General features: G+C 38.5%; 1 protein-coding gene across 15 annotated transcripts in view; it reads left to right on the forward strand.

Annotated features, from left to right (window-relative positions):
• RABGAP1 (RAB GTPase activating protein 1) overlaps positions 1–14,536 on the forward strand; it is a 173,196-nt gene that overhangs the window by 29,235 nt on the left and 129,425 nt on the right. The window contains exon 2 of one of the 15 annotated variants that reach the window (XM_024447474.2): positions 10,760–11,047. The exons of the other annotated variants lie outside the window; for them this stretch is intronic. The gene's annotated coding sequence lies outside the window, so the exon portion shown is untranslated. The remainder of the gene's footprint in view (positions 1–10,759; positions 11,048–14,536) is intronic. 15 annotated transcript variants of the gene reach the window in all.

Consider the following 14,536-nt stretch of genomic DNA (forward strand, 5'->3'; position numbering starts at 1 on the left):
ACAACAGTACATTTCAACTGGCAAAAGAAAGAGTTAATGAACTTGACGATAGATCAGTAGAAATTACTCAAAGAACATGAAGAAAAACAATGTAGAAAAAAACAGGCTCAGAAAAATATGGGAAACTATTAAGTGTACCAACATGCTTGTAATAGGAGTATCAAAAGGAGAGGAGAAAGAGAAATGACTAGAAAAAAAATTTTAAGTAATAATGTCCAAAAACATCCCAAATTTATTTAAAAACAATAATTTATATATCCAGGAAGTTCAATGAACTCCATGTAGGATAGATGCAAAGATATCCACAAAGAGGAGTATCTTGATAAAGATGCTAAAAGACAAGGAAAAAATCTTGAGAGAGCAGCAAGAGATAACTGACTCATCAACTTACAAGGGAACCTGCCCATAAGATTTATAGCTAACTTCTCAGCAAAAAAATGGAGGCAAGAAGCCAGTGGGACAACATATTCAAAGCACTTAAACCAAAAAAACTGTTAACCAACAATTCTATGTCCAGCAAAGCTATTATTCAAAACGGAAGGTTCCTTGAAGTAAAGGCATTCTGAGGTAAAAACTCAGAGAATTTGCTGTTGGCAGACCCACTTTACAAGAAACACTAAAGGAAGTTCTTCAGGCTGAAAGCAAGTTACTCCACATGATGATTTTAATCCACATGAAAAATCTTAAGAGCACCAGTAAAAATAATTATGTAGTAATAACACTATAAATGCATATTTTCTCCTTTTCTCTTTTGTGTTGTGTATATATCATGTGTATCTATATAGGCACTTAATAGCTGTAAAGTTCCCTAAGAACTGTTTAAGCTGTATCCCATAAATCTTAGTATATTTACTGCATTTTACTGCAGTACTGTATAGTATGTATATAGTATATTGTTGGGCCTATGAGATGTGGAAATGTAATATGTTTGCCAATAATAGGAAAAAGGAGATAAGATAGGGACAGATCTGTGTTTGGGCTAGGAAATAACTCCATATAGTAACTCAAATTCATAAGAATAAATGAAGAAAACCAGAAACGATAAATAAGAAGGTTAATATAAGAAAAGCTGTAAATGTACATTGGTTCTTCTCTCAACTTCTTTAAAGGTATATATAAAATTATATAAAGTAATAATTGTGACAATGTATTGTTGGACTTCTAACATTTATAGATATAATGTGTATAGCAATACCACAAAAGGCAGGGGGAAGGGAATAGAGCTATGTTTGAATAATGTTTCTATTTCTCAGTGGAATTGAGTGAGTATAAATCAGATGCTCATTCTGATAAGATGTGCATTGTTTCAAGTCCAACAGAGCTTAAAGATTAAAAAAAAAAATGGGTAATCCCAGCACTTTGGGAGAGTGAGGTGGGTGGTTTGCTTGAGGCCAGGAGTTTAAGACCAGCTTGGGCCACATGGTAAAACCCCATCTCTACAAAAAACAAACAAACCCCCACAAATCAGCCAGGCATTGTGGTGTGTGTCTGTAGTCAGAAGGTGACTTGGGAGGCTGAGGTGGGAGAATTACTTGAGCCCAGGAGGTTGATGGTCTGGTGAGCCATGGTCACACCACTGCATTCTAGCCCAAGTGACAGAGTGAGACTCTCTCTTAAAAAAAAAAATAATAAAAATAGTACATTGTAAGTTCCTAGAGGAACTAACAAGGATACAAGTAAAAATATATGTGGAAAAAAATCATCAAAGAAATGTAAATGCTATATTAGAAAATATTTACTAAGTCCAAGAGAAAGCAATAATAGAGGCACAAAAAAGATAAGAGACACACTAAAAATGATAAAGTTGGCACTCCTGAATCCAGCTATATCAATAATAATACTAAATGTAAGTAGATTAAGCAGTGTAATCAAAAGGGGAGATACTGTTAGATTGGATAAAAATATATGATCCAACTGTATGCTCTCTACAAGATATACTTTAGGTTTAGAGATACAAATAGATTTAAAATAAAAGGATGGAAAAATATAATGCAAACAGCATTATAAGAAAGCTGGATTGGCTATTCTGATTTTAGACAAAATAGACTTTAAAACAAAAAACTTTACTAGAGGTAATATATGAATAATGACATTTTGTAATGAGAAGGATTAGTCCATCACAGACATCTAACAATTACATATCTAATAACCAAGCACCAAAATGCATGAAGCAAAAACTGACAGAAATGAAGAGAAAATGGACAATTCAAGAATAATTGTTAGCCGGGCGTGGTGGCTGACTCCTGTAATCCCAGCAATTCAGGAGGCTGAGGCGGGTGGATTGCTTGAGCTCAGAAGTTCGAGACCAGACTGGGCAACATAGCAAGTCCCCGTCTCATTTAAAAAAAAATTATTGAAGATTATAATATACTGCTTTCAATAATGAAGGGGACAACTAGGCCAATCAATAAGGAGATAGAAGCCTTAAATGACACTGTTGACCAACTAGAGCTAACAGATCTCTGTAGAACACTCACCCCAACAATAGCAGAGTATTCATTCTTTTCAAGTGCACCCAAAGTATTAATCCAACCATAAGGGCAGGAAACTAGAAATCAGTAACAGAAGTAAAACTGAAAATTCACTACTACAGGGAAATTAAACAACATACTCCTAAATAAAAAGTCGAAGAAAAAAAAAGGAAGTTAGAAAATACTTGAAATGAATGAAAATGCAGATACAATATACTAAGACTTATGGGATACAGCTTAAACAGTTCTAAGGGAAATTTATAGCTGTTAAGTGCCTATATTAAGAAAGAAGAAAGACCTAAACTTAATATCCTAACGTTCCACCTTAAGACCCTGGTAGAAAGGTACATTAAACCTAAAACAGTCAGAAGGAAGGAAAATAAAAGAACAGAAATTAATGGAACAGAATAGAAAAGCAGTAGAGAAAAATCAGTGGAACCAAAAATTGATTCTTTGAAAATACCAACAAAATTGACAAAACTTTAATTAGATTAACCACAGAAAAAGAAGACAATTTACTGGAATCATAAATGAAAGGGAATAATACTGCTGATAATACGTAGAATTATGAAGGAATACTAGAGTTGTGTGCCCATAAATAGGTAATTTAGATGAAATGGACAAATTTCTAGAGCGACACTAACAAAACTGATAAAATAGTCTGAACAGATCTATAACAAAGAGATTGAATTAGTAATCAAAAAAGTACCCCAAAGAAACCCTGGACTCAGGTGGCTATACTGTTGAATTCTACCAGATACTTAAATAAGAATTAATATCTATTCTGCACAAACTCTTCTCTGGAATAGAAAAGTAGGGAATACTTCCCAACTTACTCTATGAGAACACCATTACCCTGATACCAAAATCAGACAAAGACATCAAAGGGAAACTGCACACCAGTGTCTTTAATGCATATGGACACAAAAATCCTTGAAATACTAGCAAAGTGAATTCAGCTGGTATATAAATATAAAAAAGATTACATACCATGATCAAGTGGGAGTTATTCCAGGAATGTAAGGTTAGTTTAACATCTGAAAATTATTAATGTAATACACCGTATCTATAGAATAAAAAGCAAAACCCACATGATCATCTCAGTAGATGCAGAAAAAGCATTTGACGAAAATCTAACACCATTTCATGAAAAAAAGAAATGAGAAAACTCAAACTAGAAATACAATGGAACATTTCAACCTGATAAAGGACATTTACAGAAAGCTCACAGGTAAAATCATACTTGATGGTGAGTGATTCTTCCCCCGCCTAAGTTTAAGAATAAGACAAGGAGGTCTACACTCACCACCGATCTTCAACATTGTGCTAGGGCCAGGTGCAGTGGCTCATGCTTGTAATCCCAGCACTTTGAGAGGCTGAAATGGGAGAGGATCACTTGAGCCCATGAGTTTGAGAACAGCCTGGGCAACATACGGAGACTCCATCTCTACAAGAAAAAAATTTTTTTTAATTAGCTGAATGTGGTGGCATGCTCTTGTAGTCCCAGTTATTTGGGGGCTGAGGTGGGAGGATCTTTTGAGCCAGAGAGGTCAAGGCTGCAGTGCGTTGTGATCATAACCACTGCACCCCTACCTGGGCAACAGAGGGAGACCCTGTCTCTACTTAGAAAAAAAGATTTCAAGAAAAGTGAAAAACAACAACAACAAAAATGCAATGAAAGAATTTGTAAATGATAGTAGTTCTAGGAAGTATAAAGAACTAAACCATCAACTGCTGAATGGGTAAACAAAATGTAGTATACAATGGAATATTATTAAGCCATAAAATACTGATACATGCTACTACATAGATGAACCTTAAGAACATTATGCTGAATGACAGTCACAAAAGACTACAGATTACATAATTTCATGAATATGAAATATTCAGAATAGGCAAATCTTTAGAGACAGAAAATTAGTGGTTGCCTAGGGCTGGTTGGAGGAGTCTGGTGGGAATAGAAAGGTGATAACTTAAGGGTATATTGTGCTGCTTTTTACAATGTTTGTACTAAAAAAAATTTTTTTTGAGACGGAGTCTCTTGTCGCCCAGGCTGGAGTGCAGTGGCGTGATCTCAACCCACTTCAACCTCCGCCTCCTGGGTTCAAGAGTTTCTCCTGCCTCAGCCTCCTGAGTAGCTGGGATTACAGGCATGCACCACCATGCTTGGCTACTTTTTGTATTTTTAGTAAAGGTGGGGTTTCACCATGTTGGCCATGCTGGTCTCGAACTCCTGACCTCAGGTGATCCGCCTGCCTCGGCCTCCCAAAGTGCTAGGATTACAGGCGTGAGCCACCACGCCCAGCCTGTGCCACTTTTTGAGGTAATGAATTTGTTTTAAAATTGACTTTGGTAGTTGCATGTATCTGTGAATATACTTAAACCATTGAACATACATTTTAAATGAATGAATTGTGTGGTTTATGAGTTATATCTCAATAAGTCTTTTCTAAAAAGCTCCCTGGACAATTAGCGGGAAAGGGGCAAGAGTGGTAGCAAGGAGGGCAGGGGTAAATGTGCTCTGATTCAGAATATGTTTTGGTATTAATGTGAGTAAATTAGATATAGGGTATGAGGTAAAGAGAAGTAGATGATTCCTAGATTTTGGCCTGAGCTGTTTAGTCTAAATCTGAACTAAAAAGTAATGGCATTACCTCAGTAATGCCATTTACTGAGATGGGAAAGAGAAAGGTAAGTCCAGAATTGGGTCAGGAGAACATATTACATTTGAGTTGACTGTTAGCTGTCTCTTTGGAGATGTCAGGTAGGTAGTTTGATAGTTGGATATATGAGACAAATACTAAGGAGAGGTTGATTGTAGCTGCCATCAATAGTATTTACATGCTATTTAAAGCTATGAAATTATGGCTGGGTGCAGTGGCTCAGGCCTGTAATCCCAGCACTATGGGAGGCTGAGACAGGCAGATCACTTGAGGTCAGGAGTTTCAGACCAGCCTGGCCAACATGGTGACGCCCTATTTCTACCAAAAATACAAAATTAGCCGGTCATGGTGGTACAGCCTGTAATCCTAGGTACTTGGGAGGCTGAGGCAGGAGAATTGCTTGAACCCGGGAGGCGGAGGTTGCAGTGAGCCTACATTGTGCCATTGCCCCCCAGCCTGGGTGACAAGAGTGAAACTCCATCTCGAAAAAATAAAAAAATAAATAAAGCTATAGAATTAGATGAGACCACTCACAATGTGAGTGTAGATATTGAAGAGACAAGTGATAACAGTTGGTTCTTAGGGTACTTCAGTATTCAGAGATTGAGATGAAGAGAAATCAGCAGAAAAAACTGAGAAGAAAGAACTCTTGAGATATAAGAAAACCCGGGTGTATTACTTCGTTTTCACACTGCTGATAAAGACGCACCTGAGACTGGGAAGAAAAAGAGGTTTAATGGACTTACAGTTCCACACATCTGGGGAGGCCTCACAATCATGGCAGAAGGCAAGGAGGAGGAAGTCATGTCTTACATGGATGGAAGCAGGCAAGAGAAGAGAGAGATTGTGCAGGAAAACTCTGTTTTAAAAACCATCAGATCTCGTGAGACTCACTATCATGAGAACAGCATGGGAAAGACCTGCCTCCATGATTTAATTACCTCCCTCCAGGTTCCTCCCACAACACATGGGAATTGGGGGAGTTACAATTCAAAATGAGATTTGGGTGGGGACACAGCCAAACCGTATCACTAGGAGAGCAGAATTCCTTGTAAGACAAGTGAGGAAGGTGTTTCAGGAAAGCAGTAGTGATCAGGTATGTCTGATTTGGCTAATAGATTGATTTAGATAATAAGTGAAAAGTAACAAGATGCAGGCCTTGGGGATCCTCAAGAATAATGGGTTTTTTTGGAGAGATTGGACTGTAGTAAGGTTAGTGTGGGTTCATTAGTAAATAGGAGATCAGAAAGAAGTGGAAATAAATATAGACAACTTTTTCAAGGACTTTTGCTATAAAATGAGGGCAGAAAAATTGAGTGATAGCTGCCAGGGTTATGGATTTTATTGAATGATTGTAGGATATTTATATATTGGCAGGAATTATTTAGTAAAAAGGGTATGTTACTAGTATGAAGAGAGAGCAGAATCTTTGATTAGGGAAAAGAGTCTCCTGTGCGTAAGTAGAACAGTTAGCCTAGGAACAGTTTCTAGAAATTAAGACAGCAGTAAATATGCAAGTAAATCCATCTTGTCTCCTTTTGGATTTCCTCCATTTGAAAATTTTCTTGTAAACTTTCAAAGTAGTTTGACTTACTCTTCCTGTTTCTACTTTGATTAGTCATTTATAGTACATGGGGGGAACCCTCAGGTATCTTCCGAAGAACAACTTTTTTTGCTGTCTCATATGTCTTTTTTTCCTGAAAAAAATTTTTTTTTTTTTAGACAAGAGTTTCACTCTTGTTGCCCAGGCTGGAGTGCAGTGGCATGATCTCCATCTTCCGGGTTCAAGTGATTCTCCTGCCTCAGCCTCCTGAGTAGCTGGGATCACAAGCACACACCACCACACTTGGCCAATTTTTTGTATTTTTAGTAGAGATGGGGTTTTACCATGTTGGCTAGGCTGATCTCGAACTCCTGACCTCAGGTGATCTACCCGCCTCGGCTTCCCAAAGTGCTGGCATTACAGGTGTGAGCCACCATGCCCTGCCTTTTTTCTTAATGTTTAATTTTTGTGGGTACATAGTAGGTGTATATATTTATGCGTTAATGTGTATATATGCATTACATGAGACATGAGACATTTTCGTACAGGTGTGCAATGAGTAAAATTACATCAGTGTAAATAGGGTATCCATTACCTTAAGCATTTATTCTTTGTGTTACAAACAATTCAATTCTACCTTTTTTTTTTTTTTTTTTTTGAGGTGGAGTCTGGCTCTGTTGCCCAGGCTGCAGTGCAGTGGTGCAATCTCAGCTCACTGCAACCTCCACTTACTGATTTCAAATGATTCTCATACCTCAGCCTCCTGAGTAGTTGGGACAGTAGGCGTGCACCACTATGCCCGGCTAATTTTCATATTTTTAGTAGAGATGGGGTTTTACCAGGTTGGTCAGGCTGGTACTGAATTCGTGGCCTCAAGTAATCTGCCTGCCTTGGCCTCTCAAACTGCTAGGATTACAGGCATGAGAAACTGTGTGTGGCACAGTTACACTCTTAGTTATTTTTAAATGTTCAATTAAATCATTTTTTACCAGCACAGTTATACTCTTTTACTTTTATTTTTTATTTTACTTTATTATTGTTACTATTTTTGAGACAGAGTCTTGCTCTGTCACCCACGCTGGAGTAAAGTGGCAGGATCTGGGCTTACCACAACCTCTGCCTCCCAGGTTCAAGTGATTCTCCTGCCTCAGCCTCCTGAGTAGCTGGGATTACAGGTGTGTGCCACCACACCTGGCTAATTTTTGTATTCTTAGTAGAGACGGGGTTTTGCCATGTAGGCCAGGCTGGTCTCGAACTCCTGACCTCAGATGATCCACCTGCCTTGGCCTCCCAGAGTGCTAGGATTACAGGTGTGAGCCACCGCCCCCAGCTAGTTATTTTTAAATGTACAATTAAACCATTTTTACTGTAGTCACCCTATTGTGCTAGCAAATACTAGGTCTTATTCTTTCTAACTATGATTTGTCATCTTTACCAGAAAGAAATACCCGTATAGTCATGCACTGCATGACAGCATTTCAGTCCACAACCAACTGCATGTATGAAGGTGGTCCCAAAAGATTATAATACCATATTTTTATTGTACCTTTTCTGTGTTTAGATATGTTTAATACATGCATACTTACCATTGTGTTAGAATTGCCTACAGTATTCAGTATAGTAACATGCTATACAGGTTTGTAGCCTAGGAGTAACAGGCTATACCATACAGCCTAGTTGTATAGTGGGCTATGCTTCCTGGGTTTATGTAAGTACACTCTATGATGTTCATACAACAGAACTGCCCAACAGGCATTTCTCAGAATGTATCCCTGTTGTTAAGTGATGCATGATTGTGTTTTGTAGACAAGGAAATTGAGGAACATGTTCTCCAAATTTAAAATATTTCCTCTGTGTGTTTTAATTTCAGTACATTTGTATATTATGTAAGGTTATTATGTATAGAACTGGAATTGAGGAATTATTCAAATTGTTAAATCTTTAAGGTCTGTCATCAGAGGAAGGTATAATAGTGTTACTGGAGATATCTTGCGCAGTGGTCCTCTCCTTTTTGAAACCTTGTATCGTTTCTCAGCCCCTAGTAGAATGACTAACAAAATGACTTAAAAAAAAAAAGATTTGTAGAGCATCTTATCTATCTTCCTAACACATTTTTTTTGCCATTTCAATGTGGTATAATATGGAATTTAAAACATTTTATTTTGTAGAGACAAGGTCTTCATATGTTGCCCAGATTAGTCTCAAACTCCTGGCCTCAAATGATCCTCCCACACTGACCTCCTAAAGTGTTGGGATTACAGTTGTGAGCCACCACGCCTGGCCAACATGACATTTAATAAATTCCAAGGCTCTCGAGTTTTGTTTGTTTGTTGAGACAGAGTTTTGCTCTGTTGCCCAGGCTGGAGTGGAGTGGCATGGCACAATCTCTGTTCATTACAACCTCAACCTCCTGGGTTCAGATGACTTGTGCCTTAGTCTCCTGAATAGCTGAAATTACAGTCATGTGCCAGTGTGCCACCATATCCGGCTAATTTTTTTTTTTTTTTTCTTAGTAGAGATGGGGTTTTGCCATGTTGGCCAGGCTGGTCTTGAACTCTTGGCCTCAAGTGGTCCACCTGCCTCAGCCTCCCATTGTGCTAGGATTACAGGTATGAGCCACTATACCAGGTCCTGGAATTTTTCTTTGTTTCTGTTTTAATGCTAACATTTATGCTTGGGACATAAACATAAAAGTGGAACCATGAGTTGGGTGTGATAGTGTGTACCTGTAGTTCCAGCTGCTTAGGAGGCTGATGCAGGAGGATTGCTCAAAGCCAGGACTTCAAGGCTGCAGTGCTCTATAAGCATGCCTGTGAATAGCCACTGCAGTTCAGCCTGGGCAACATAGTGATACCCTGTCTTAAAAAAGAAATGTTTTTTTAAACTTTTATTTTAGATTCAGGGGGTACATGTACAGGTTTGTTACAAATGTATATTACATGATTCTGAGGTTTGGGGTACAATTACACCCAGGTAGTAAGCACAGTACCCAATAGATAGTTTTTTCAACCCTTATCCCTCTGTCTCCTTCCCTTCCTACCCTCTGTTGCAGTCCTCAGTGTCCATTGTTCCCATCTTTATGTCCATGTGTACCCAATGGAAAACATATTTTAAAAGTCTGTCACTATTCCACCCCAAAACTCCAAAAGTCCCAGTTGAGTGTCTTGTTGAAAGGTCATTTGACAGCTAGTAACTATCACAGGATAGGAATTCCCATTTTTGAAAATATGATAACCTACACAGCCTAAGAAGTTTCCATTATAAAATAATTAGGAAAGCTGGCTGAAATGTAACAAACAGCTTTTTAATTGCCTAGCTGTATTTACAAGAAAGTAATGACAGTCTTCAAGGAACAAAAACAAAGAGGGTACTGAAAGCTGGAACTATACATATGGGCTGACATTTGGTCTGCACTGAGGAATTTTCTATTCTTTATAACCAAAGTGCTTGGATTTTGATAACTACGTTGGGCAAGAGGTAAGGCCTTGGGTTTAGAGAGAGAGGTGTTGGAGCTGAGATCTCCTCAGAAAGTGTACTCAGGGGCTACTTCCTAACTTGAAAGGATAGGGTAAAAATTCTACCTGTACTTCACAGGAAAGAACATAAGGAAACTTACATTTCTTAGCTTGGACACTAATTTGGAGGAGGGTCTTGCTGGGAATTTATTCCCACAGGCTTGCCTTCATGTATGTTTAGAGTTTGAATTTACACTGCTTGTATGTTCCTTGATTGATAATACTCCAGGCACCTTACAGAAGCAATTGCAGAACTACTCTGGAAGAACATACTTGCCACTCAGGCTACATGGTATTTCCCCAGATAACCCTCTTAAAGCAGAGCACACAATCCAAAATTTACAAATATATACAAAGAATTATTTATTATGAGCAAGTTAGCAAACCCCAGCAGAACTGAATCCCACTGGAACTTGGGCATTAGAATTATTAGGTATAACCTTAAGGGAAATATGATTAAAATCATTAAAGACTTAAAGCAAAATTAGAAAACATTTAAAAAGAACAAAATATCAAAAAATGTAAAAATTAAGCCAACTAAAACTGGAATTCTGCAATTAAATTTAGAGCCAGTGAAATTAAAAGTGCAGCAGATATGTTAAACAGCAAATTACACATGGCTGAAGAGAGAATCAAATACCTGGAAAATGGATCTGAAGAAATTATCCAGAAGATAGCATTGAAAGATATGAAAGACCACTTAAGAGACATGAAAATTAAGATGAGAAGGACCAACCATCTTAAGTGTTCTATAATAAGAGAATGGTGAAGATGGAAGAAAATACTTGAAGAGATAATAGTTGAATATTTTCCAGAAGTGATAAACGATATAAATCATTGGCTTCAAAGAACACAGTAAGTCCCAAGTGGAATGATAGTAGAACTGGAGAACATCATAGCCAGAGAGAAAATAATACAAGGCTGAATGAGAATAGAGATGAAGTGGACTTGGTGCCTGTATTTAAGATGCTTATAGCTTAGGGCAGATGACAATTAAAAATCTTGTTACATTTTTTTCTGTTAGTCTTTCCTTTGTAACAGATTACCTCTGCCCATTGTAGTGGCACATGTCTGTAATCCCAGCACTTTGGGAGGCTGAGGCAGGAGGATCACTGGAGCCCAGGAGTTCAAGACCAGCCTGGGCAACAACAGTGCGACCCTGTCTCTTTAAAAAATAAAAATAAAAATGGTAAGAAAAAAACTCCAAATTACCTCGATACTCAGTGGATTAAAACTATTTCTCTTGATTTTGTGGATTGACTGGTTGGTTTTTGCCAATCTTGCGCTCATACAGCTTCATCTGGTGGGTCGGGTGGGGACTGGACTTGAGTAGGATGGCTGGGTCTCCTTCCATGTAGTCGCTCGTCTTAGGCTTCTTCACAGCATGGTAGTCTTAGGACAGGAGTAGCAGCTGTAAGGCCCTTGGGGCTGTGGGTTAGAAATTATACCACGTGGATTCTCGTGTTCAAAGCAAGTCACAAGTCCAGTTCTTATTCAAAGTTTTGGGTAAATAGGCTATATCTCTTGATTGGAGGTGCTGTAGAGATTCTCTGGCCGTATTTAATTTTCAACATCAGTATAGTTAGATGAATGCTGTGGTGTAGATGAGCAAAGGGTGCTATAGAACAGAGGATGGAAACCTAATTCAGCTTGAGGGAAGGGTCAAGGAAGGCTTCTTGGAGTTGGTAATGCTTTACGTAAGCCCTTTAAATAAAAGTATTATGTGATGGTGTGGTTATAGAAAACATAAAGGTATGGCCGGGCGTGATGGCTCACACCTGTAATCCCAGCACTTGGGGAGGCCAAAGTGGGAGGATTGGTTGAGCTCAGGAGTTGAGACCAGCCTAGGCAATATAGTGAGAGCCTATCTCTTTATATATTAAAAAAAAAAAATACATAGAGGTATATTTCTTTTTTTTTTAACCTAGTCATCCATAAGCAGGTATTTTTCGTAATAAAATGTTTTGACAACTCATATCAAAATGTGAGAACTTTCCATAAAAGCAGAACATGTATTTTCTCCATCTGACTGACTATATGTTCCTCTCAGTTGGGAATCTTAGCTCTTACCCAAAGATACTCTATAAATACTGGTTGGGGATGCATTGATGAACTAGTGTTTCTTATGCAGAAAGATCAGTTACTTTTTTTTGCTTTTGAGACGGAGTCTCGCTCTGCTGCCCAGGCTGGAGTGCAGTGGCATGATCCCTGCTCACTGCAAGCTCCACCTCTCGGGTTCACACCATTCCCCTGCCTCAGCCTCCCAGTAGCTGGGACTACAGGCGCCCACCACCATGCCCGGCTAATTTTTTGTATTTTTAGTAGAGATGGGGTTTCACCGTGTTAGCCAGGATGGTCTCGATCTGACCTCGTGATCCACCCGCCTCGGCCTCCCAAAGTGCTGGGATTATAGGCATGAGCCACCGAGCCTGGCCAGATCAGTTAATTTTTTAAACTCTTTAATCCTCATAGAGTTTTCTTCTTGAAAAATCTAATTGACATTATTTAGATGAAAGAAAATTGCCAAACTTTATTAAAATAGCAGATAACAAAAGTCACTCTGTCTCAGTAATGCCGAAACTAATCTTCTGATTTGGTTTCTGATACTGCTTTTTTAGAACCTGATAATCTGCTGGACGTGGTGGCTCACGCCTGTAATCCCAGCACTTTGGGAGGCCGAGGCGGGCAGATCACCTGAGGTCAGGAGTTTGAGACAAGCCCGGCCAACATGGCAAAACCCCATCTCTACTAAAAATACAAAAATTAGCTGGGCGTGGTGGCATGCACCTGTAATCCCAGCTACTCCGGAGGCTGAGGCAGGAGAATTGCTTGAACCCGGGAGGCGGAGGTTGCAGTGAGCTATCACGCCACTGCACTCCAGCCTGGGCGACGAGCGAAACTTCGTCTCAAACCAAAAAAAAAAAAGAAAAAAAGAACCTGGTAATCTTGTCCTCTGTAATGCAGATCTTTTATTCAGCAAAGTTACTGAACATGAGCTCAGTTTAATTAAGAGGGTTATAGTGGTGGTGGCAGTGGAGACACATCAGTAAATACGTCATCATGATACAATTCATCATGTACTAGAATCTAGGTATGAGCGAACTGTGTGAGAATGTAATTGTTGCCTAAAGAAGAAAAGAAAGGTTATGTGTAGTAGGTGATAGTTGAGAAAATATTAAGAGTGCCCTGTACAAACAAGTGAGCCTGTAACGTGGTAAGATCCAGAAGCTTGAAAGAACATGGAGTCAGGACTACTGTAGGTAGAAGAATTGATTGTATTTGCTTTTCTTTTCCTCCCAAGATGGAAATGGCTTTGTCTTTTTTTTTTTTTTTTTTTTTTTTTTAGTTATAATAATGTTTGCTTGATATAGAAAACCAGGCAGTAAGAGAAGTAACTAAAACCCAGCCATGGCCATGTGCAGTGGCTCATGCCTGTAATCCCAACACACTTTGGGAGGTGGAGGCAGGAGGATTGCCTGAGCCCAGGAGTTCTAGACCAGCCTAGGTAACATGATGGGACCCTGTCTCTATTTTTAAAATAAAAAAATTAAAATAAAACCCATCCATAATCCCATTACTTAGTGAAACAGTTGTAAATGTTTTGGGCCTGTCTTCAGTTGACTTTTCAGGATAAATTCACAAGCTGCTGTTCTTTCCCGTCCTCTTTTTATTTTAAAGTAATACTAGAAATTCTAATGATAACTTTATGTTGTTTGGTTCTTCCTTCATAGAGTAAGATAAAAAGACTGATAATCAGAACAGCCATGGTTTATAAAGTAAATCATAAAGAAATTTACTGATTTAACAAAGATCACAGAATGAGTGTGTAAGCAGGTTTGAGATTAGTAACTAAATCTTCAAATATCCAAATTGGACTTTTGGTTATTTCGTGTCATGTATTCTGACACAGCTAAGGTTATTTAGTGTTATAAGTAACATACATACTTCTTAATTGCTCAGCTTTTACACTGAAGCTCAGCAATATTACTCAGTTTGAACCATTTTCATTTGTGTTTTTACTGCAGTAGGATTAAAATAGTGGAAACTGTAGATCATCAGGAATTCGTCTTTAATTTTCTGATCATCTAGGGACTTCTCAAGCACAAAGTGTCCCTTCCTAAGCATGTTTTCTTGAGGGCCTAAATATCCTTCAGAAAAGGATCCCAAACTGCCTGAAGTAGCTTTGTATAACTGGCAAATCAAGTGGGGCCAAGTTGGTATTGTTGCAGTGAAAGGAAACAAGGACTATAAAATTAGAAGTAGAAAATTGAGACCAGGAAATGACTCTGGATTTTGCCTTTGGAACATTTTGTCCTTTGGTTCCATAAATGCAATTTTGCTCTC

This window comes from Homo sapiens, chromosome 9 (genome assembly GCF_000001405.40).
Source record: "Homo sapiens chromosome 9, GRCh38.p14 Primary Assembly".
In the NCBI taxonomy this organism is placed as follows: Eukaryota; Metazoa; Chordata; class Mammalia; order Primates; family Hominidae; genus Homo; species Homo sapiens.